The sequence below is a fragment of the Homo sapiens genome, chromosome 12 (genome assembly GCF_000001405.40).
Source record: "Homo sapiens chromosome 12, GRCh38.p14 Primary Assembly".
Lineage (NCBI taxonomy): Eukaryota > Metazoa > Chordata > Mammalia > Primates > Hominidae > Homo > Homo sapiens.
In genome coordinates, this window is record NC_000012.12 from 95,913,149 (window position 1) to 95,938,175 (window position 25,027).

Below are 25,027 nucleotides of genomic sequence, written 5' to 3' on the forward strand. Positions count from 1 at the left end.
CTAGGAGGCCCACATCTTCCTGGGTCACTTTTGACCTTCACCTCTTACTAGCTGTGGGAATATGAGTAAATTACCCTCTCTCCATGCCTCAGCTTCCTCATTTGTGAAATGAGGATATTGCCTGTGGCAGATTATGTTATTGTTCCCAAATATTTGCTGCCCCTCTCTGTGAGAGGATTCTCTTTCCCCACTAAGTTGATGTCAAACTTGCCTATTGACAGATTCAGCCCAGGGAATGGGAATGGGATCGGATGGGATTTATGTTGCCTCCAGGAAGAAGCTTCGAGAACCACTACCTGTTTCTCTCCTTTCTCCCTTTGCTATAACTCCAGCAACATCCTAGACAGGAAATATTCTTTCAGCAGAAGACCCAGAGAAAAGCACCCACATTGGAAAGTGAAGGATAATTAAACCTCTGTTATTGGAAGCCACTGAAATTTAGGAGTGATTTATTACCAAAGCATAAGTAAGCCCGGGTAGATACACTACTTTACTTTGTAATGGTGTTGTGAGAGGAAAATGATGCAATATATTACAAAAACACATAGTAACTTCTTAATAATTGTTACTGGCTATTATTTAAACAATACAATTGGGATGAGTAATTATTTAATTTCTCAAGGTTAATAATGGCAACAATGATTATTATAATCATTAATAAATGTTAATTGGGAGGTAAAAGAAAGCAAGCTTTGGAATCAGACAGGCCTTGGCTTGAATTCTGCACCCACCGAGAACTTCGAATAAGTGACAGACTCCGTGAGCCACGTTCATCAGACACAACGAGGAGGCAAAAATATTTAACAATGTTTTGTTGATGATTAAATAAAATACATATGAAATCAGTCAGCATTTATCACACAGCTGTCTTTTTAATAGATTTTAAAACTTTAGGCTGGGAGTGGTGGCCCATGCCTGTAATCCCAGCACTTTGGGAGACCGAGGCAGGTGGATTACTTCAGGACAGGAGTTCGAGACCACCCTGGCCAACATGGCAAAACCTCGTCTCTACTAAAAATACAAAAAATTAGCCAGGTATAGTGGCATGTGCTTGTAGTCCCAGCTACTCGGAGGCTGGGGCACGAGAATTGCTTAAACCTTGGAGACAGATTTTGCAGTAAGCCAAGACTGCGCCACTGCACTCCAGCCCAGGTGACAGAGAAAGACTCCGTCTCAAAAACAAAACAAAACAAAACAGAAATACTTTATATTATGGGAATCACTGACATTCATAAAAGTAAAGAGCCATATAATGTTCCCTGTGTACCTGTCACCTACTTCAACATTATCAACATTTTACCAATCTTGTCTCATTTATTGCCACCCTCCTTAATGTCTCCGTCACTGGAGTATTTCAAAACAAATTCAAGCCTTTGTATCATTTCACCCATAAATACTTTAATATGAAACTCTAGCAGATAAAAAGTTTTAAATCATAACCATAAAACCACCATCACCCCTAACAAAATGAACTATTCCTTAGTGTCGTTTTACACACAGTCTGCATTCAAATCTTCCCAGTTGTCTTAAAAATACCTTTTTGGAATTTTAAAAATTAAAATCTAAATATTTTATGGTAAGGATCCTAAAGTCTCTTTTAAATCTATAATAGCCACCCCCGCTCCTCACACCCTATACCCTACACACACTTTTTTTTTTCCCAAGCCATTCATTTGTTCAAGAAACGAGGTCAATTTCTCTGTAGAATTTCCCATATAATGGATCTGACATATTGTATCCTCATGGTGTTATCTAACATGGTCTTCAATCCTCATATTTATTTGATTAGATTCAGGTTCAATTTACTCAAACATTTTTAATAGAAGAAAAGAATGAAAGTGCTTACTGTAGCTTTCATTTGATCATTTCTGATGGGTCAGCCAAATTGAAAATAAACTTCAATATCCAAAAAAATCCTGTGCTGTCAACTTACTAAATCTTAGAGCCATATTCACCATTTCAGCTTACTTTGACATGGTACTCTCTGGCTGAGTTGATAGAATTTTATTCTTCAACTCTAAGTAGACTCGTTATAGTGAGTTTCCCATTTTGGCTATTCTAGCTATCAGGCAGATCTTTGAACCAAGAGGCCATGAATTAATAAAGCCCTCCCAAAGCATTAACATTCCTAGACCTGAGGGCACCTCCACCACTCTCTGGGGATGTAAAGACCAGCTTGAGAGATCTGAGGACATAGAATACTGCAACAGAGAGTCCTGCAACTATCCCAGGTGTTGTGCTTTGAGAGCAAAACCAGAGTCAGGCTGCTCGCTGTGCGAAGATGGAAATGGCACTTCTCTCATGTAGGCAGACTGATCTGTCTCTGACACTTAGTTGTGCATGTGATTTCTTTGATGGGCACCGAGCAGTTTGCCACTTACTGCATACACAAAAAATTAAAGTCACCTAACCTCCCAGCGTGTGGTTGCTTGCTCATTTTGCTTTCATGTAGGTTTGTTTTCAATCAGGATTCAGGCAGGGGATGCAAGTTTGAGGAGTAAGGTTTTCACTCAAATCAGCTCCTGATTGGAAATACAGTCTGAGGGTGACTTCTATATTTTAAGTTAAAATGTCCAAATTGCTTATCTGTGCAATTGGCAGAAACTGACAATCTGGTTTCCATTGCTGACAGAGCCCAAATTGCCTTGGATAATGCCAAACAATTTTACTGTTTCCTTTTGAAGAGTTGACCCTATGCCATTTACTTTGTTTTTCCTTTGTACCCAAAATTCATCCAAGACACCTACTTTTAAGAGACCGGTAACTTCTCTGTTAAATAGCAATGCTGTTGAATGGGGTCATCTGCAAAGCCATACTTCTGAGTTATTTAAGAACTGCTGGAGTGTCCTGGGTATTTTAAACCAGCCACTTGGTGTAGAACTCTTTCTAAAACATATCACATGTAATTGTAAATGCTCTTGATGACCTAAGGTTTACCACTCTACGGAGGCGAACTATGAGGCATGTGATTGAACGTAGATATGCCCTAGAACTTGTGGTACAGTCCCTGGCATCACCTTGCTGCCTATCATTTGCTGCTTTTACATACAATTATATATGCACTTGGAAGCTCTTCTGAATAAGTTAACATGGCTTCCTTTTCCTACATTAATTATTGACTCCAAAGCCCTTCCCTAAGTGGTTTGCTTGTTCTCTGAAAAATTTTTTTACAGTTTGAGAAAGTGCATGGGCTTTGGGATCCAGAGAAAATTTTTTTAAGTTGCCTGCCTGCCTTCCTTCCTTCCTTCCTTCCTTCCTTCCTTCCTTCCTTTTTTCCCTTCTTATTTTAAACTTTTTAATTTAACAATTTGGAAAACATTCATTTTGGGGGAAGATTTTAGACTCCATCATCCTAGCATTAATCACTTTATTTTCATTAACTTCAAAGTACTTTCTATCTCATCTATAGGCACTACTTGGTTTGACAAGTAGGATACCCCCTACTTGTCATTTTTGATAATCAGATTGCCTTCTTTTGTTGAGTAGTAATGATCATCTTATAGTATTTTAATATGTTGCCTCCAAAGGTCACTAAAACCAGATTAGGTATTTGCAACATTAGGTAAGCTCATTTAATTTTATTAGCTTCCTCATTCTGGATGCATGAGTTCTTTGGCTTGGATATCAAGGCTTTTTTATCTTTAGAAACTTCTAAGTTTGACATCTAGAACTGAGTATGAATGGCCAGAGCTATTACCTTTACATTTTATCCGCTTTTGCAAACTTTAATACTACATTCTTTTGGCAGTAACTGTCCTCCTGGGAGGACGGTTATGAAAATGAGTAACAGTCATCTTGGAAAAGTATGTTTTCTTATTTAACATAGAATTTCTCCTAACTCTCAATCCCCATGTACTAAGACTCCCTACCATTATAAGAGAGCATACTGTCTGTTTTAATCACCCTCCAACAAAGCTCCCAAACCTGACATTAATAGTAAATATTCAAAATGATGTTCTTAAAGAGTAATTTAGACTCACCTTCTATTAATCTAGGAATCGGAGCAGGACCTGGCCCAAACTTTTCAAATGACCTACCACTCCTTTTAGGGTAGAAAGCTAGTTGGCTCAGGTATGAATGACTCTTCATTCTGGATGAAAAAGTAGTTTTCTGGTAGACTTTCATGTTACGGTTCATAAATTTTTCCTGCCCAAGTGGAAAAGTTGAAAAGAATTTTTAATATACCAAAGTATGTTATCTTAAAATTAGTGATTATATATAAAAATAACATTTGCAACAAAAATCTTAACATTAAAAAAACAACCCCAGGTTCTTCTCTTTGAAGGAATGTGTGTTGTTTTAGTTTCCTTCTCATATGAAGCTGAGATCATTTAACTTTTATTAAATATGTACATCACAAATACAAGACTGGAAAATGTCCTCTCAGCTTCATTTTCACAATTTAGTCTTGCTCAAAATGCAGTTAAAATTTGGAAATTCCGGGCTGGGTGCGGTAGCTCATGTCTGTAATCCTGGTGCTTTGGGAGTCCAAGGCGGGCAGATCACCTGAGGTCAGGAGTTCAAGACCAGCCTGATCAAGATGGAGAAACCCCTCTCTACTAAAAATACAAAAATTAGCCGGGCGTGGTGACGGGTGCCTGTAGTCACAGCTACTCAGGAGGCTGAGGCACAAGAATCACTTGAACCTGGTGGTAAAGGTGGCAGTGAGCCGAGATCACACCACCGCACTCCAGCCTGGGTGACAGAGCAAGACTGTCAAAAAAAAAAAAAAAAAGGAAATTCTAAGTGTTGGTTCTGTGGAATTAAAACTTGAGAGGAAAGGGATCTCCCCAGTAGATATTTAAAAATTAGGCTTGTGATTTCATTCATCTTCTCTCAATTTAATTTTAAGTATGTTCCACAAAACCATACAACACTTGCTGAGGAACCATCGCATACAGATGAATCTGTTGTTGAGCATTTCTAGATAATTTCCTTATCTTAATTAGGGTAGACAAAGTCCTGTAATCAACTTTTACCTCTGGAAAGAAAGAAAGTAAATCTACTGAAATGTGAACCAGGCGATGTAGGTGTGATGACCACAGCAGTGGTGAGATTAACTCTGCAAGGCACAGTGGGAAAATCAGCCTTATCATTGATCTAGCTTCATACCACAAAATTTGAAAACAACACCCCCTCCTCTACTTTCATCCCTTCTTCCTTCCCCAGCACACACATATGCATTGTCTTATCCATATCTGATTCTTGAAGACCCACCTCCTTTTATCTCCTCACCACTAACAGCCTTTTTTCCATCTTCTCATCAACAAAGATGAACACCCCTTTCTCTATATTTCTTTGGCACGCCTCTGTTACTGTATTTCCTCCACTCTGAGATGCCACTTATTGTAAGATGTGCTATTATTTTATGCAGGGCCAGTGATGTATGACATCCCATCTATGTAAGCTAGGTACCAATTTCAGAAATGTAAAAAATGTGGAGATGTGTGTGTTGGAATCAATGAAGGACAGTGTACCATACGTGTCCTACTGGACTGCAGTGGTATATCTCTCTTCCTCCGTTAGGTGGCGATCTTTGTGCTGCCTACTGTCAGCTGGATGTTTTTCTGTCGTTTGTGTTCACACTGTCTCCCCATCATGGTGTGGGGCACACACCATCTGCGTCTAGTTGACTCCATGTCTCAGCCCAGCAAAGTTCATAAGAGCAATAGGTAAGTGGATATGATTCTAACATTAATTGGGGTTGTGATTTTAATTAAACTTTACCGTTTCCTTTGCTGCCATTTCATTTTCTTTGACAAGAAAGAGATCTCTGAAAAAGATCTTATAAGGCCTGTCCTCTTTGGTTGAGCCATCTTTTACTTTACCTGTTAAAAAAGAAAGAATGAATGAATGAATTCTGTCATCCTTCCTCTGCTGACCAGAATAGTAAGTCTCCCACCAGCTAGGGTGGAATGAATGGGATGCAGGGATCTCTGAGAAGGTAGTGTTAAAAGAAAAACTTTGGCCGAATTAAATTTAAAGGAGTTTAATTGAGTAATGAATGATTTGTGGATCGGGCAGCCCCCAGAATCACAGCAGAGTCAGAGACTCCAGGGATATCTCATGGTTAGAACAAATTTATAGACAAAAAAGGGAAGTGAAGTACAGAAATCTCAGGTGAGGTACAGAAACAGCTGGATTGGTTACAGCTCGGCATTTGCCTTATTTGAACACAGTTTGAGCACTCAGCAGTGTATGAGTGGTTGAGGTACGGCTGCTGGGATTAGGCCAAGATTCAGCTATTGTTACAGGGCATACTTCTACGTTAGGGTTTTAATTTTGTCTACCTATTAAGTTAGGTTGCAGTTCGTTCACAAGGACTCAAATATAGAAGTATGGAGTATGGAGTCCTTCTCAGGCCATGTTTAGTTTGCTTTAACAGTAGAATGCAGATAGCCTTGCCTCCACATCTCCTGGGTAGAAGTCACAGCTCCTCTGTCTGTTTCCCACAGCACCGACATAGCTCTTACTGCTTCATGAGGAATGAGTTGATAAAATAAGGAGGTCTTTACCAAAATAGTAGGATAAAATTTTGAGATATTAATATGTTTCTTCTCACCATTATACATATACCACCATTACCCTTACACCACCATTTCAACAGCAACAGATACAGCCACTACCCTTAGGGAGAGCCTCTGCCCAGATTAGAGAGTCTTAAAAAAGAAAGTCAAAGATAATAAAAAGTGCTGGAGAGCATGTGGAGAAATTGGACCCAAATTCACTCCTAGAAGGAATGTTTAAGTGGGGCAGTCACTTTGGAAAACAATCTGGCAGTTCCTTAAAAAGTTGAACACAGAATTGCCACATGACCTAGAAATTCTACTGCTAGGATATACCAAAGAGAAATGAAAGCATAGGGGCTCACAAAAAACGTGTACATGAATATTTAGAGCAGTATTATTTTTAATAGCCAAAAAATAGAGACAACCTAGATATCTGATATGGATTGGCTGTGTCCTCATCCAAATCTCATCTTGAATTGTAGCTCCTATAATTCCCATGTGTCATGGGAGGGACTCAATGGAAAGTAATTGAATCGTGTTGAGGGGTTCTTTCTTGTGCTGTTCTCGTGATAGTGAATAAGTCTCATGAGATCTGATGGTTTTATAAAGGGGAGTTCCCCTGCACACACTCTCTTGCCTGCCACCATATAAGACGTGACTTTCCTCCTCTTTCACTTTCCACCATAATTATGAGGCCTCCCCAACCATATGGAACTGTGAATCCATTAAATCTCTTTCATTTATAAATTAGCCAGCCTGGGTATGTCTTTATTAGCAGCATGAGAACAGATTAATACAATATCCATCAACTGATTAACGATAAACAAAATGCAGTATATCCATACAAGGAACTCTTATTTGCCCAGAGAAAGGAATGAAGTACAATATATGCTACAACATGGATGAACATTGGAAACATGTTAAGTAAAAGAAGCCAGTAACAAAGGACCACACATTATATGATTCCATTTATATAAAATATCCAGAATAGGCATATTCATGGAGATAGAAAGTAGGTGAGTAGTTGCTTGGGGCTGGAGGGTGGATGGGGCCTAGGGGTTGATGGCTGAGGGGTGCAGGTTTCTTTTTGAATTAGTGAAAATGTTCTAAAATTGGCTGTAGTGATGGTTGCACATAATTGTTCTACACTAAATAAAAAATGAAGGCTGGCCATTAAAAAAGCAAAAGAGGGCCGGGCGCAGTGGTCACACGTATAATCCCAGCACTTTCGGAGGCCGAGGTGGGTGGATAACCTGAGGTCGGGAGTTCGAGACCAGCGTGACCAACGTGGAGAAACCCCATCTCTACGAAGAATACAAAATTAGCCGGGTGTGGTGGTTCACGCCTGTAATCCCAGCTCCTTGGGAGGCTAAGTCAGGAGAATCACTTGAACATGGGAGGCAGAAGTTGCGGTGAGCCGAGATCATGCCATTGCACTCCAGCCTGGGCAACAAGAGTGAAACTCCATCTCAAAAAAAAAAAAGAAAAAGAAAAAGAAAAAGAAAAGTCAGTTGAATTTCTGCATGGACTTCCTGTTTTTCTTTATAACATTTGATATGACAAAAAAACTTTCTCTCTCTTTATTTCTTTATTTCTTACTTTCTAACTCTTGGGATGTGGCAGGATGGAAATCTTGGCTTTCAAAACCAATAGTCAAGGTCAAGTGTAATTGTCTATTTTCACACTGCTATAAAGAACTTCTCTGAGACTCGGTAGTTTACAAAGGAAAGAGGTTTAATTGACTCACAGTTCTGCATAGCTGGGAAGACCTCGGGAAACTTACAATCATGGTAGAAGGCTAAGGGGAAGCAAGCACCTTCTTCACAAGGTGGCAGGAGAGAGAAGCATGAAGGAGGAACTTCCAAACATGTATAAAACCATCAGATCTTGTGAGATCTCACTCACTATCACAAGAGCATGGGGGAAAACGCCCCCATGATCCAATCACCTCTCTCCCTCAACACATGGGGATTACGGGTCCCTCCTTTGACATGTGGGGTTTATAATTTGAGATGAGATTTGGGTAGGGACACAGAGCCAAACCATATAACCAAGAATACTGGGAGCCTGGAGTTGACACCTTAAATCAGAGATAGGAAGATAGGAAGAGGATTCCTGAAGACACATTCCCCAACTCTTACCCCACATCCCATGTCCACCTCAACCTTACAAAAAGACTCCACATCCTCCCAGCAAGCAGAGGGCCTGTGAAGAAACTCAATGATTCTTGCCCCAAATCACTAGAATCATTTTGGCTCCACCCACCTCCAGATATTCTGACTTAATTTGTCAAGGAAACATCAGCACTGGAATATTTTGAGAGTCCCCCAGGTGGCTGTAATGTACATCCAGGACTAAGAGCTAGTGGACCAAAGTTTAAGGAATTAATGGACTGGAGCTTAAAGTCTACCTGAGAAGCAGCCATTTGCCCAAAGATTCAGTGTAGAAAGTGGGAGTGGCTGGGATTATAGAAACTCCAAACACATTTTTCTGTAAGTCATGAGTTAGAGAGAAAGAAAATTGCAGAGTGGAAGTCTTGGGTTCAACACAGAGTACTCTGATCATCTCCTATTCACCCTGATGGTGATGGAGTGAATCCCCCATCCTAAATACTACGAGATAGCTGAACACATGATACCCAACACTGGACATATGAGACTGAAAGCAGTTTATAAGTCATATATACTCATAGCCTGGGGGAGGAGAATGCTGCCTGCAATGCAGTGCCACATGGGAATTGCACTCAGGAGCACAGTGAATCACCAGTGGTGGGAGGCAACTTTGTAGTAACAAAAGGCTGAGGTGTCCCCTGGTCCCCACAGGAGGATGTGATTGACTTGTTTGAATAATTTCATGGCTGACAGTGCAGTGAAACCCATTAGGTTGAAGACCAGGTGGAATGCAGCTGGTCCAATTGATAGAGGAACTAGCCAGGCCGGGAGAGTTTCCTGCTAGGTGGACGTCATATTTGGCAAGAGCAAGAGGATTTATGGTTAGGCTTTTGGGGCCCTGTGAGGCTGAAATATGTCAAGGCAGCACATACAATTTTAGGCCTTAAAAACATGAAGTAGAAACAGCTGAGGGTGGGTCCAGGCAGCTAGACTCTGGGACAGCAGAAGTGTAGACGAGCAAAGCCAACAGGCTGAAGACCAGGAGGTAGCCACAGAGATTGAGGACTCAAAAGGACCTGGGGCCAGGTGCCTGTGATGGTTAATTGTGTGCGTCAACTTGACTGGGCCATGGGTTCCCAGATTAAATGTTATTTCTGGTTGTGTCTGTGAGGGTATTTCCAGGTGAGATTAGCATTTGAATTGGTGGGCTCAGTAAAGTAGACTGCCCTCATCCATGTGGGTGAGTCTCGTCCAATCTCTTGAGGGTCTGAGTAGAAAAGGCTGAGGAATTAGGAAGTAACCCCTTCTTTTCTGCCTCACTGCTTGAACTGGGACATCTCATCTCATCTTCTCCTATGCTGAGACTGGAACTCACACCATCAGTTCCCCTGCTTCTCAGGCTTTCTGAGTCTGACTGAATTACATCACCAGCTCTCCTGGGTCTCCAGCGTATAGATGGCAAATCATGGGACTTCTCAGCCTCCATAATTATATGAGCCAATTACTCATAGTAAATCTCCTTCTTATTGGTTCTGTTTTTCTGGAGAGTTCTGCCTAATACAGTGGTGTTTACAGAGTCCATGGACCTATGCCTTATATACCATCACTCCCAGGCCAGGGCTGGACCCCAGACATCCCAATATGGAGCCACTGTTGTCCTCCAGGGGATGAGTAATTAGTGGGCTGGACACCTCTTCCCCAATCAGCCTTCTCTTCTTCCAAGAGAAACTCTACAAACTTAGATTCTGCCCTATCCCAAGTGTCTTTTTTTTTTTAATTTATTATTATTATACTTTAAGTTTTAGGGTACATGTGCACAATGTGCAGGTTAGTTACATATGTATACATGTGCCATGCTGGTGTGCTGCACCCACTAACTCGTCATCTAGCATTAGGTATATCTCCCAATGCTATCCCTCCCCACTCCCCCCACTCCACAACAGTCCCCAGAGTGTGATGTTCCCCTTCCTGTGTCCATGTGTTCTCATTGTTCAATTCCCACCTATGAGTGAGAATATGTGGTGTTTGGTTTTTTGTTCTTGCGATAGTTTACTGAGAATGATGATTTCCAATTTCATCCATGTCCCTACAAAGGACATGAACTCATCATTTTTTATGGCTGCATAGTATTCCATGGTGTATATGTGCCACATTTTCTCAATCCAGTCTATCATTGTTGGACATTTGGGTTGGTTCCAAGTCTTTGCTATTGTGAATAGTGCTGCAATAAACATACGTGTGCATGTGTCTTTATAGCAGCATGATTTATAGTCCTTTGGGTATATACCCAGTAATGGGATGGCTGGGTCAAATGGTATTTCTAGTTCTAGATCCCTGAGGAATCGCCACACTGACTTCCACAATGGTTGAACTAGTTTACAGTCCCACCAACAGTGTAAAAGTGTTCCTATTTCTCCACATCCTCTCCAGCACCTGTTGTTTCCTGACTTTTTAATGATTGCCATTCTAACTGGTGTGAGATGGTATCTCATTGTGGTTTTGATTTGCATTTCCCTGATGGCCAGTGATGGTGAGCATTTTTTCATGTGTTTTTTGGCTGCATAAATGTCTTCTTTTGAGAAGTGTCTGTTCATGTCCTTCACCCACTTTTTGATGGGGTTGTTTTTTTCTTGTAAATTTGGTTGAGTTCATTGTAGATTCTGGATATTAGCCCTTTGTCAGATGAGTAGGTTGTGAAAATTTTCTCCCATTTTGTAGGTTGCCTGTTCACTCTGATGGTAGTTTCTTTTGCTGTGCAGAAGCTCTTTAGTTTAATTAGATCCCATTTGTCAATTTTGGCTTTGGTTGCCATTGCTTTTGGTGTTTTAGACATGAAGTCCTTGCCCACGCCTATGTCCTGAATGGTAATGCCTAGGTTTTCTTCTAGGGTTTTTATGGTTTTAGGTCTAACGTTTAAGTCTTTAATCCATCTTGAATTAATTTTTGTATAAGGGGTAAGGAAGGGATCCAGTTTCAGCTTTCTACATATGGCTAGCCAGTTTTCCCAGCACCATTTATTAAATAGGGAATCCTTTCCCCATTGCTTGTTTTTCTCAGGTTTGTCAAAGATCAGATAGTTGTAGATATGCGGCATTATTTCTGAGGGCTCTGTTCTGTTCCATTGATCTATATCTCTGTTTTGGTACCAGTACCATGCTGTTTTGGTTACTGTAGCCTTGTAGTATAGTTTGAAGTCAGGTAGTGTGATGCCTCCAGCTTTGTTCTTTTGGCTTAGGATTGACTTGGCGATGCAGGCTCTTTTTTGGTTCCATATGAACTTTAAAGTAGTTTTTTCCAATTCTGTGAAGAAAGTCACTGGTAGCTTGATGGGGATGGCATTGAATCTGTAAATTACCTTGGGCAGTATGGCCATTTTCACGATATTGATTCTTCCTATCCATGAGCATGGAATGTTCTTCCATTTGTTTGTATCCTCTTCTATTTCCTTGAGCAGTGGTTTGTAGTTCTCCTTGAAGAGGTCCTTCACATCCCTTGTAAGTTGGATTCCTAGGTATTTTATTCTCTTTGAAGCAATTGTGAATGAGAGTTCACTCCTGATTTGGTCCTCTGTTTGTCTCTTATTGGTGTATAAGAATGCTTGTGATTTTTGCACATTGATTTTGTATCCTGAGACTTTGCTGAAGTTGCTTACCAGCTTAAGGAGATTTGGGGCTGAGACGATGGGGTTTTCTAGATATACAATCAAGTCATCTGCAAACAGGGACAATTTGACTTCCTCTTTTCCTAATTGAATACCCTTTATTTCCTTCTCCTGCCTGATTGCCCTGGCCAGAACTTCCAACACGATGTTGAATAGTAGTGGTGAGAGAGGGCATCCCTGTCTTGTTCCAGTTTTCAAAGGGAATGCTTCCAGTTTTTGCCCATTCAGTATAATATTGGCTGTGGGTTTGTCATAGATAGCTCTTATTATTTTGAGATACGTCCCATCAATACCTAATTTATTGAGAGTTTTTAGCCTGAAGGGTTGTTGAATTTTGTCAAAGGTCTTTTCTGCATCTATTGAGATAATCATGTGGTTTTTGTCTTTGGTTCTGTTTATATGCTGGATTACATTTATTGATTTGCGTATATTGAACCAGGCTTGCATCCCAGGGATGAAGCCCACTTGATCACGGTGGATAAGCTTTTTGATGTGCTGCTGGATTCGGTTTGCCAGTATTTTATTGAGGATTTTTACATCAATGTTCATCAAGGATATTGGTCTAAAATTCTCTTTTTTGGTTGTGTCTCTGCCCGGCTTTGGTATCAGGATGATGCTGGCCTCATAAAATGAGTTAGGGAGGATTCCCTCTTTTTCTATTGATTGGAATAGTTTCAGAAGGAATGGTACCAGTTCCTCCTTGTACCTCTGGTAGAATTCGGCTGTGAATCCATCTGGTCCTGGACTCTTTTTGGTTGGTAAGCTATTGATTATTGCCACAATTTCAGCTCCTGTTATTGGTCTATTCAGAGATTCAACTTCTTCCTGGTTTAGTCTTGGGAGAGTGTATGTGTCAAGGAATTTATCCATTTCTTCTAGATTTTCTAGTTTATTTGAGTAGAGGTGTTTGTAATATTCTCTGATGGTAGTTTGTATTTCTGTGGGATCGGTGGTGATATCCCCTTTATCATTTTTTATTGTGTCTATTTGATTCTTCTCTCTTTTCTTCTTTATTAGTCTTGCTAGCGGTCTATCAATTTTGTTGATCCTTTCAAAAAACCAGCTCCTGGATTTATTAATTTTTTGAAGGGTTTTTTGTGTCTCTATTTCCTTCAGTTCTGCTCTGATTTTAGTTATTTCTTGCCTTCCGCTAGCTTATGAATGTGTTTGCTCTTGCTTTTCTAGTTCTTTTAATTGTGATGTTAGGGTGTCAATTTTGGATCTTTCCTGCTTTCTCTTGTGGGCATTTAGTGCTATAAATTTCCCTCTACACACTGCTTTGGATGCGTCCCAGAGATTCTGGTATGTTGTGTCTTTGTTCTCGTTGGTTTCAAAGAACATCTTTATTTCTTCCTTCATTTGGTTATGTACCCAGTAGTCATTCAGGAGCAGGTTGTTCAGTTTCCATGTAGTTGAGTGGTTTTGAGTGAGATTCTTAATCCTGAGTTCTAGTTTGATTGCACTGTGGTCTGAGAGATAGTTTGTTATAATTTCTGTTCTTTTACATTTGCTGAGGAGAGCTTTACTTCCAAGTATGTGGTCAATTTTGGAACAGGTATGGTGTGGTACTGAAAAAAATGTATATTCTGTTGATTTGGGATGGAGAGTTCTGTAGATGTCTATTAGGTCTGCTTGGTGCAGAGCTGAGTTCAATTCCTGGGTATGCTTGTTGACTTTCTGTCTCATTGATCTGTCTAATGTTGACAGTGGGGTGTTAAAGTCTCCCATTATTAATGTGTGGGAGTCTAAGTCTCTTTCTAGGTCGCTCAGGACTTGCTTTATGAATCTGGGTGCTCCTGTATTGGGTGCATATATATTTAGGATAGTTAGCTCTTCTTGTTGAATTGATCCCTTTACCATTATGTAATGGCCTTGTCTCTTTTGATCTTTGTTGGTTTAAAGTCTGTTTTATCAGAGACTAGGATTGCAACCCCTGCCTTTTTTTGTTTTCCATTTGCTTGGTAGATCTTCCTCCATCCTTTTATTTTGAGCCTATGTGTGTCTCTGCACATGAGATGGGTTTCCTGAATACAGCACACTGATGGGTCTTGACTCTTTATCCAATTTGCCAGTCTGTGCCTTTTAATTGAAGCATTTAGTCCACTTACATTTGAGGTTGATATTGTTATGTGTGAATTTGATCCTGTCATTATGATGTTAGCTGGTTATTTTGCTCGTTAGTTCATGCAGTTTCTTCCTAGTCTTGATGGTCTTTACATTTTGGCATGATTTTGCAGCGGCTGGTATTGGTTGTTCCTTTCCATGTTTAGCACTTCCTTCAGGAGCTCTTGTAGGGCAGGCCTGGTGGTGACAAAATCGCTCAGCATTTGCTTGTCTGTAAAGTATTTTATTTCTCCTTCACTTACGAAGCTTAGTTTGGCTGGATATGAAATTCTGGGTTGAAAATTCTTTTCTTTAAGAATGTTGAATATTGGCCCCCACTCTCTTCTGGCTTGTAGGGTTTCTGCCGAGAGATCCACTGTTAGTCTGATGGGCTTCCCTTTGTGGGTAACCCGACCTTTCTCTCTGGCTGCCCTTAACATTTTTTCCTTCATTTCAACTTTGGTGAATCTGACAATTATGTGTCTTGGAGTTGCTCTTCTCGAGGAGTATCTTTGTGGCGTTCTCTGTATTTCCTGAATCTGAATGTTGGCCTGCCTTGCTAGATTGGGGAAGTTCTCCTGGATAATATCCTGCAGAGTGTTTTCCAACTTGGTTCCATTCTCCGCATCACTTTCAGGTACACCAATCAGACGTAGATTTGGTCTTTTCACATAGTCCCATATTTCTTGGAGGCTTTGCTCGTTTCTTTTTGTTCTTTTTTCTCTAAACCTCCCTTCTCGCTTCATTTCATTCACTTCATCTTCCATCGCTGATACCCTTTCTTCCAGTTGATCGCATCAGCTCCTGAGGCTTCTGCATTCTTCACGTAGTTCTTGAGCCTTGGTTTTCAACTCCATCAGCTCCTTTAAGCACTTCTCTGTATTGGTTATTCTAGTTATACATTCTTCTAAACTTTTTTCAAAGTTTTCAACTTCTTTGCCTTTGGTTTGAATTTCCTCCCGTAGCTCGGAGTAATTTGATCATCTGAAGCCTTCTTCTCTCAGCTCGTCAAAGTCATTATCCGTCCAGCTTTGTTCTGTTGCTGGTGAGGAACTGCGTTCCTTTGGAGGAGGAGAGGCGCTCTGCTTTTTAGAGTTTCCAGTTTTTCTGTTCTGTTTTTTCCCCATCTTTGTGGTTGTATCTACTTTTGGTCTTTGATGATGGTGATGTACAGATGGGTTTTTGCTGTGGATGTCTTTTCTGTTTGTTAGTTTTCCTTCTAACAGACAGGACCCTCAGCTGCAGGTCTGTTGGAGTACCCGGCCGTGTGAGGTGTCAGTGTGCCCCTGCTAGGGGGTGACTCCCAGTTAGGCTGCTCGGGGGTCAGGGGTCAGGGACCCACTCGAGGAGGCAGTCTGCCCGTTCTCAGATCTCCAGCTGCCTGCTGGGAGAACCACTGCTCTCTTCAAAGCTGTCAGACAGGGACATTTAAGTCTGCAGAGGTTACTGCTGTCTTTTTGTTTGTCTGTGCCCTGCCCCCAGAGGTGGAGCCTACAGAGGCAGGCAGGCCTCCTTGAGCTGTGGTGGGCTCCACCCAGTTCGAGCTTCCCGGCTGCTTTGTTTACCTAAGCAAGCCTGGGCAATGGCGGGCACCCCTACCCCAGCCTCACTGCCACCTTGCAGTTTGATCTCAGACTGCCGTGCTAGCAATCAGCGAGACTCTGTGGGCGTAGGACCCTCTGAGCCAGGTGCGGGATATAATCTCCTGGTGCGCTGTTTTTTAAGCCCATGGGAAAAGCGCAGTATTCGGGTGGGAGTGACCCGATTTTCGAGGTGCCATCTGTCACCCCTTTCTTTGACTAGGAAAGGGAACTCCCTGACCCCTTGCACTTCCCGAGTGAGGCAATGCCTTGCCCTGCTTCGGCTCATGCACTGTGCATGCACCCACTGACCTGCGCCCACTGTCTGGCACTCCCTAGTGAGATGAACCCGGTACCTCAGATGGAAATGCAGAAATCACCTGTCTTCTGCGTTGCTCACGCTGGGAGCTGTAGACGGGAGCTGTTCCTATTCGGCCATCTTGGCTCCTCCCCTGCAAGTGTCTTAAAATCTTTAATGCCTGAGTTAAAATCTCTACTGACCAAGGTTAACTGTCTTGGAATTGACAAGGTGATATTTTTGTCCCTCCAAGTTCAAAGCTGAGTTTATTTCAGTTTACAGAGAAATAGAAGAAAACTAAATTTCTGAACACCAAGTATATTAGTTTCCTCTTGTTTCCATAATAAGATATCACAAAATTGGTAGTTTAAAACAACAGAAATGTATTCTCTCCATTCTGGAGGTCAGATATCTGAAATCAAGGTGATGGCAGAGCCATGCTCTCTTGGTGAAGCCTCTAGGGGAGAATCCTTCCACAGTTCTAGCTTCTGATGGCTCTAGACATTCATTGGCTGGATAATTCCAACCTCTGCCTCCAACTTCACATGGCCTTCTCCTTTTCTTTCTTTTATAAGGACACTTATCATTGAATTTAGGGCCCACCCTAAATTCAGGGTGGTCTCATCTTGAGATCCTTATCTTAATTACATTTGCAAAGATCCTTTTCCCAAATAAGGCCACATTCCCAGTTTCCAGAGGTTAGAATAGGAAGGCCAACCATTTGTGGAGGGCCACTATTCAACCCGCTACACCAAATTTCCTATATTATAAACTCACCACATGAACTAGTCCCTAGGCAACACTTCTCCCCGTATTTCTTTCCTAGTCACATAGGACTAGGGCTGCTGTAGCAGATTACCACAAACAGGGTGGCTTAAAACAACAGAAATGTAGTCTCTCACAGTTCTGGAGGCCACAAGTTCAAAATCAAGATGTTAGCAGTGTTGGTTCCTTCTGGAGGCTCTGAGGGGGAATCTATTCCATGACTTTAACCTAGCTTCTGGTAGTGAAATTCCTGGGATTCCTTGGATTGTAGATCCATCACTCCAATCTCTTCCTCCATTCTTCACATGACCTTCCCCTCTGTGTGTCTGTATCGCAAATCTTCCTTTCTGTTCTCTTATAAGGACACTAGTAATTGGATTTAGCCCTTGTCCTAAATCCAAGAAGATCTCATCTTGAGATCCTTACTTTAATTACTTTTGCAAAGATCCCCCTTTCCAAACAAGGTCACATTTTCAGGTTCTTGGTGGAAATATCTTTTGGAGTCTAAATTCAACCCCTTACAGCACTCCATACCTGCAATGTACATCAAATTCCACCATTAATCATGTCTTCTACCTCAACACAGAGTCTCATTCTACCAGCTCTTTAGCAAACTGGACGCTAGGCTCAACCTCTCTCCAATACTCCATTTTAGCAATAAGGGGTCTGCTTAGATCTACAAATCAAATTCTAGTAGCTGAATCCTGGCTACTCTAAACTCTAAACTCTAGATCTCTTCCTTTTGTTACTATTATATTCTTCTCTAAGCTGCCTTGCAAATCCCTGACATTACTAATTAACAACCTTGAGAGAAGGCTTTCTCTTCTCTGCCTCACTGTATTAGTTTCCTATTGCCGCTGTAACAAATTACCACAAACCTAGTGGTTTAAAACAATGCAAATTTATTTTCTTACACTTCTGGAGGCCAGAAGTCTGAAATGAGTCCTTTGAGCATAAAATCAGGATGTTGATAGAGCTGTGTTCCTTCTGGAGGCTCCAGGTGAGAATCAGTTTCCTTTCTCTTTCCAGCTGTTAGAGGCTGCCTGCATTCTTTGGTTTGTGGTCTCTTCCTCCATCTTCAAAGTGCATCACTTTAGCCTCTACTTCCATTGTCACATCACCTTCTCGGTCTTTGAATAAAAGGACTCTTGGATTATATTAGGCCCATTGGCTAATCCAGGATAACCTTCCCATATCAAGGTAATTAACTTAATCATATTTGCAAAGTCCCTTTTGCCATGTAAGGTAACGTATTTACAGGTTCCAGGGATTAGAATGTGGACACATTTGGGGGGCCATTATTCTGTCTCACACAGTCTCACTCCTTTCCTAGACTTGCTCCTTACTGACACTCTATTTGTCTTGTCCTAATTCTTCTATTTATTCATTAATTCATTCATCCACTCATTCATTCATTCAACAAATACCAATGAAGCCTCAACTATGTGCCAGGTAGTGTTTTAGGCACTGATGTTACACTGGTGAACAAAACAAAGATGGCTGCTCTTGAAGATCTTATACTGAGGTGAAGTGGCAGGTTTGGAAATAGAAAGTATAAACATTAATATAATAAAGTAACTTTTATGTTTTAAAGTAATAAAGTTCTGTGGGAAAAATAAAGCAGAATATAGGAGGGCTGGGGTGAACAATTTTAAGTAGAGTGATCAGAATGGGTCTCATTGATCAAGTGGTATTTAAAGGAGTTGAGAGAACCAGTCAAGTGGATATCTGAGGAAGAGAGGTACTGGCTGTGGCAACAGCCAATGCAAAGGTCCTGAGGCAGGATCATCTCTTGTGTGTGTTCAAGAAAGGCTAGTGTAGCTGGAGTGAAATAAATGGGGTCGGGGGACTGTAGTAGCAAGGATAATTACTTAGTATCTTGTAGGCAGTCTTGAAGACTTTGGCAATGACCCTCAGTAAACCAGAGAAGTATTGGAGGGCTTTGAACAGAGAAGGAATGTGGTCTGACCTACTTAATACTTTGTAGTTGGATAAGAAGAGACTTGGAGTGGGGGAGTCAAGGATTGAGATCAGACTAGTTCAGGTAAGAGGTAATGGGCTCAGACCAGCATGGTAGGAGTAAAATGGTGAAAAGTGGTTGGGTTCTGAGTACATTCTGAAGGGAGAACCAACAGAATTCCCTAATAGATTGCATATGAGGTATTTTCCCTCAAGCACTCATTTTTCCTTCCTTCTTTCCCTCCTTTCTTCCTTCCATTTGTTTCTTCATTTTTTGGTGTTGTTTCTGGACTTGATTTTGTTTTTTCTTAAATCATATTTGGAGTACATACCAATATTAAGTATCTTTTTAGAAATCATGGCTTTTACTGTCTCCAATCGTACTGATGTATTCATATTTGAACCCCGAGCAGCTAGGTTAGTATATAAAAGGCACTAAAAAACTGCAGAATTGAAATAACTGCATAACATAATCTTAAAATACATTAAAGTAGATCTAAATTAATAGAGAGATGAGTCATGTTTGTGGATAGAGAGACATGATTTCATAAAAATGCCAATTCTCCACGAATGATCAATGGATTCACAGTAATATAAGTACATAGTCCCATACGAGTTTCTCTAAATAAACTTGATAAGTAAATTCTAAAATTAGTAAGGAAAACCAAGAGACAAGAATAGTGAGAACCCTTCCCAAGAGGAACAGGATGGGGAGATTGCTCTGCTGTGTATCATTATGGAGCTACAGTAAAGGGAAAGACAAATTCACTAATGGACTAGAATGGAAATCTCAGGAACATATCCATACATGGGGAAAGGAGAGACTGTTCAAAAAATGAGTCGGAGAAAATGGTTATTCTCATGGAATAAAAGGAAATTGGATCTTTACCTCACACTCCATACAAACATTAACTACAGATGAAATAAGGATAAAATTGTCCCCCAAAAACCTTTAAAACAAACAGTAGAACATATAGGTTTTATCATTTAGGCCTTTGCTAGGGAAAGATTTCTTAAAAACACAAAAAGTAGTAACTATACAAGAAAATATTGATAAATTCAGCTATATTAAGATTAAAGACTTTGTTCATCAAAAGACGCCATAAACAAATTGAAAGATAAATTAAAACTGGGAGAAAATATTTGTACTCCATAGAGATGACATAATTGGGATATACCACATCTACAAAACTGCAAATCAATATAAAGAGCACTAACAACCTAAAGAAAAATAGAAAAAAGACTGTATTAAATAAGCATTTAACAGAAGAAGAAACATTTATGGTCAATAAACATATGAAGAGTTGTTCAACTTCATTAGTTATCAGGGAAATGCAAATAAAGACCATAATTTCACCCATTTGATTGGCAAAGCATTAAAAAACTTGACAATGCCAAGTGTTTGGAGAGGATATAATTCCACAGGATCTCTAATACATTTCTTGTAGAGTTATGATTGGCACAACTACTTTGGAAAACACTTTGACATTATTATCTGAAGTTGAATACTCAGCTAACGTCAGATTCAGCAATTCTATTCCTAGGTATACATGCAAAGAAACTTTCTTGTATACCAGGAGATGTGAACAAGAATGTTTATTAGCAGCACCATTTAGTAGCAATAAGCTGAAAACAACCCAAATACCCAAAGAAGTGTCAACTGTAAACTATGGTACATTTGCATTTTGTGATATTATACAGCAGTGAAAATGAATGATCTAAACCATACAACAGTATGAATGAATCTTAAAATATAATGTTGGCTGGGCATGGTGGCTCACTCCTGTAATCCCAATAGTTTGGGACACTGAAGTGGATCGCTTGAACCCGAGAATTCAAGACCAGCCTGGGCAACATGGCAAGACCTTGTCTATAAAAACAATTGTTTTTAAAAGATTAAAATAAATATATATGTATGTATATATATAATGTTAACTGAAAAATTTCTAAAATATGATAGTCAACAAGATATACTTTTTTAAAAGTTAAAACTAAAATGAAAAATATGCTCTTTAAGACTGCATATATACAGTATAAAACTATACATACAAATAAAATAGTGAAGAAAAATTCTAAACAGACTTCAACATGGTGCCTGGCTTAGGTGTTGAAAGCCAAGGGATAGGGTATGTAGTTATTGTCAGGTTGTAATTTCTTGTGAAGATCCTCGTCTTTGGGTTCTGATGGGTTCAAAGGTTCATATTATGTTATTAATATATAATTGTATTAATCTTAAAAGAAGGCTATGGGTCTTAGGGAACTGGTACCAAATATGTCAAAACTCATGCTGCTTGTTGTTTTGTGAGTAATAAAGTCGTTTGTCTCTGACCCAAGAGTTTTGTATCTCTTGTCAACATCCAGGAAACTGTAGCAAGCTAACTTATGAGTTTGCAAGTAGAGGAAAATCTTAGCCCTGTCACAGTTCTTGACAAAGTAATATAAATCCTTTAATTAAAAAAGGCATCATCCAATCCATACTAGTCTAATATTCTGCATTTTGTTTTTTTTGGTTAGCAATATACCTAGGAGTTCCTTTTATATCAGCAAATATATATTCACGACATCAAAAAAAAAAAAAAAACTAAATAACTAGGCTGGGTGTGGTGGCTCACACCTGTAGTCCCAGCACTTTGGGAGACCGAGGCGGGCGGATCACCTGAGGTCAGGAGTTGGAGACTAGCCTGGCCAGCATGGGGAAAACCCGTCTCTACTAAAAATACAAAAATTAGCCAGGCGTGGTGGGCACCTGTAATTCCAGCTACCCGGAAGGCTGAGGCACGAGAATTGCTTGAACCCCCAGGAGGCGGAGGTTGCAGTGAGCCGAGATGGTGCCACTGCACTTCAGCTTGGGTGACAGAGAAGCTGTCTGTCTAGTATCCCATTATCCCATTCCCTGGTTGTATTATAGTTTACATAACCAACCCTTTCCAATGGACATTATGATTGATTCCAGTCTTTTGCTATTGTAAACAATGCTGCAATAAATATTCCTGTACACACATCTTTAATCACTTGTGCATACATATCTGTAGAATAAATTCCAAACATGGCTCCTTTTAAATGCTTTTTTAAAAAAAATGGTAGTGGAGCAGATACTACTAGTGAACCCCCAATATCCATTCTTCCTTCTTCTATAGGAATAGAACCCTAAATGAACACTCAGAGTAGAGGCTATGTTTCTCAGCCTCCCTTGGAGGCAGGTCAGCGGAAGTGGTGAATGCAACTTCAGGGCATGTCCCCCCTTCCCCTTTTCTCCTGGCTGGCAGGAATATGGATGTAATCACTGGTGTGGAAGCAGCCGTCTTGGACCAAGAACATAGCCCAGGAACAGGCCAGAAGGAGTTGGGCCCCTGATGTGAACCTCCATATGGAATGCTTGTATCCAGACTTAACCTGAGAGAGAACAAACGTCTATCATGTTTAAGCCACAGTTGTTTTATATTTTCTGTCTCTTGCAGCCAAACTTTTACATTGTAAATACAAATAGTGTCAAATGTTCCTTTAAAGAGAATGCCTATAGAGAGCCTGAGTGCCTGTTACCTATTACAAACTCTTAGTGTTATCCAAATGTTAAATTTTTGTCAGATTTGTAAGAGAAAATTGTAATTCCTTATATACCAATAAATACTAATTCCTTGTATGCTCATAAATAAGCAGAAGGAGGCTGGGCATGATAGCTCATGCCTGTAATCCCAGGTCTTTGGGAGGCCGAGGTGGGTGGATCACCTGAGGTCAGGAGTTTGAGACCAGCCTGGCCAACATGGTGAAACCTTGTCTCTACTAAAAACACAAAATTAGCTGGGCGTGGTGGTGCATGCCTCTAATCCCAGCTACTTGGGAGGCTGAGGAAGGAGAATCACTTGAACCCAGGAGGCGGAGTTTGCAGTGAACCAAGATTGCGCCAATGCACTCCAGCTTGGGCAACAAGAACGAAATTCCATCTCAAAAAAAGTAATTAATTAAATAAAATAAAATAAATAAAAATAAAAAATAGGCAGAAGGATAAGATGAGAAAGGGTGGGAAAGGAAAGAAGAGGGCAGATTTTCATAAAGTTTAGTTAGGTATGTCCTTGACTATGACAAATAATTGAGTTACTTGTTTTCTGTCATGAGAGACTGGGGCAATCTGGCTAAATATGACAATTTAATGCACCCTCTGATTTGAAGATTTTTTTTTTGAATTAAAAAGTAGAACAGAATCTTCTCTGCAGGTAGTTTATAAACTCATTACATTTTATATTTATGGTGTAACATTCTCCTTTTCTTATGCTCACAATCTGTTATGGAGCCTAACACTGCCAGGCCCAAACAAGAATATATTGATTGATTTCTTTTTACCTCCAGAATTCAGTGTTGGCAATAAATTTGAGGACATTTTCTTGCCTGGCCCTGTTGAAAGAAAAAAAAATACGTTTTTTAAAAATTCTATGAACATCATATAAAAGGGCTAAATTCAACTGCCAATGACTCCTTAACAGTCCTTATGGCTTTTAAAAGCAGTGAGCACACACATACTCTTTGACCCAGCAATTTCAATTCTGGTATCTTATGTCAAGAAAATAATCAGACAAGCAGCCAAAAAAGCATGTGCAATAATGTTTGTTCAATGTCATTTCATAAATACAGAGTTGACCAAATAACTATGGTATATCCATAAAATAAATTCCAGTTGGCCCTTAAAATGATGCTGTAGTCACTATTTACCTCTCTCCATGGTATTGGTTAAAAAACAAAACATTTCAAAAGAGTAGGGATAGTGTGGATTAAAAAATGCATGCAAAAATCTGAGAGGTGTTTGAAATGCCATTCATCAAACATGAATCTTGATTACATGTGATTTGGTGCAGTCTCTCATTTTTACCAGGTTTGGGATTAGGGTTAGGTGATTGAGGCACTCAATCTTAGCTGCAAAGCTTAAGGATTGCCAAAATAAACAAACAAAAACAAAACAAAAAAATCAACTTTCAGTTATTATGATAAATTAAATGTTAATGCAATATATTTTTATAAAATTCCAAATAAATGCAGGAAATTCTATAATGAACAAAATATCAAAATTGTAAATACGGACAGTCTCTGACCCTGTACTTGTGTGACCCTGAGAGCCAGTGCCTCACTCTACTCACCCAAATCCTGGCCCACAGAACTTGTCTCTATTTAAAATTCTGTTATTTCATTTATCATGAATTTTTTACATTAATTTATATATTTAAAATAGTGAATTAAAATATTGCTTATTTTGATTACTGAGTTTTTGCTTTCCCCTTAAATTTTATGCATGAAGCTAGAGCTTCACTGGCCTTACCCTAATCCTTGTTCTGATTTCTATACTTTGAGTATCATTCAAATTTCTCAGTGAGCTGGTGTAACTGTTACAATGAGAAAAATAATAAAGATATATTCATTTTGGGGATAAAGGACACCCAGGAGTTTATATTTAAAAATGTGCCCGCAGCAGAAACAATGGACAACACATTCTATTTTGGGCTACTCATTTAAATATGTGCCTCAGGAATCTCAAAGAGCCATATATAAGAGCTAAATATCCCGGAAGCAGAGCAGCAGATGATTAAGAACACAGACTTTGGACAAGCCTGATTTTTGAATCTTGGTTTGGTATTTACTTATGTGTGAGCAAGTTCATGTATCATTCAAAAAACATTTATTGAGTACCTACTATGTGTCAGGCACTGTTCTACGTGTGGGGGACAGGGCAATTTTTAAAAAGACAAAAAAGAACAAAAACTATTGTCTTCATGGAGCCTACATCTTAATTACTCAGCATCTCTGAGCCTCTGCTTCCTGTTTCATAAAGTGGACACACCTCTTAAGGCTTTCTTGAGGATTCAGTGGGCAATGGATTTAACCAAGTGGGGTGCCTGGCTTACAGACCAGCTCAGTAAGTGGGAACTATTATGTGCTAATATTTACTAATTAGCATCTGATTTTAGTTCCAGTGGTTATAAAAACAAATATTTAAAAAATTATGTCAAAGCTTATAAAAGAGAAAAAAATGAATAAAAACTATAACATTGACATTA

At 39.8% G+C, this 25,027-nt stretch overlaps 1 protein-coding gene across 4 annotated transcripts in view, besides 1 other annotated feature; it reads right to left on the bottom strand.

Moving 5' to 3' along the window:
- Window positions 1-25,027, bottom strand: part of CCDC38 (coiled-coil domain containing 38) — a 76,186-nt gene that overhangs the window by 46,101 nt on the left and 5,058 nt on the right. For 3 of the 4 annotated variants that reach the window (XM_011537883.3, NM_182496.3, XM_011537889.2), the window contains exons 2-4: window positions 23,325-23,375; window positions 5,728-5,828; window positions 3,981-4,146 (exon numbers count right to left, since the gene is read on the bottom strand). In XM_011537883.3, coding sequence (XP_011536185.1) covers window positions 3,981-4,146; window positions 5,728-5,828; window positions 23,325-23,361 — 304 coding nt within the window. In that variant the 5' untranslated portion in view covers window positions 23,362-23,375. Of the gene's footprint in view, window positions 1-3,980; window positions 4,147-5,727; window positions 5,829-23,324; window positions 23,376-25,027 lie in introns of those variants that run through there. The other variant, XM_047428281.1, reaches the window with a different exon arrangement.
- Window positions 15,545-16,046: an enhancer, noted in NCBI's record as "NANOG-H3K4me1 hESC enhancer chr12:96322471-96322972 (GRCh37/hg19 assembly coordinates)". NCBI's record gives its function as "activates a minimal SCP1, AML or CMV promoter by ChIP-STARR-seq in primed H9 embryonic stem cells {active_cell/tissue: H9 hESC(primed)}" and the evidence as "EXISTENCE:reporter gene assay evidence [ECO:0000049][PMID:30033119]".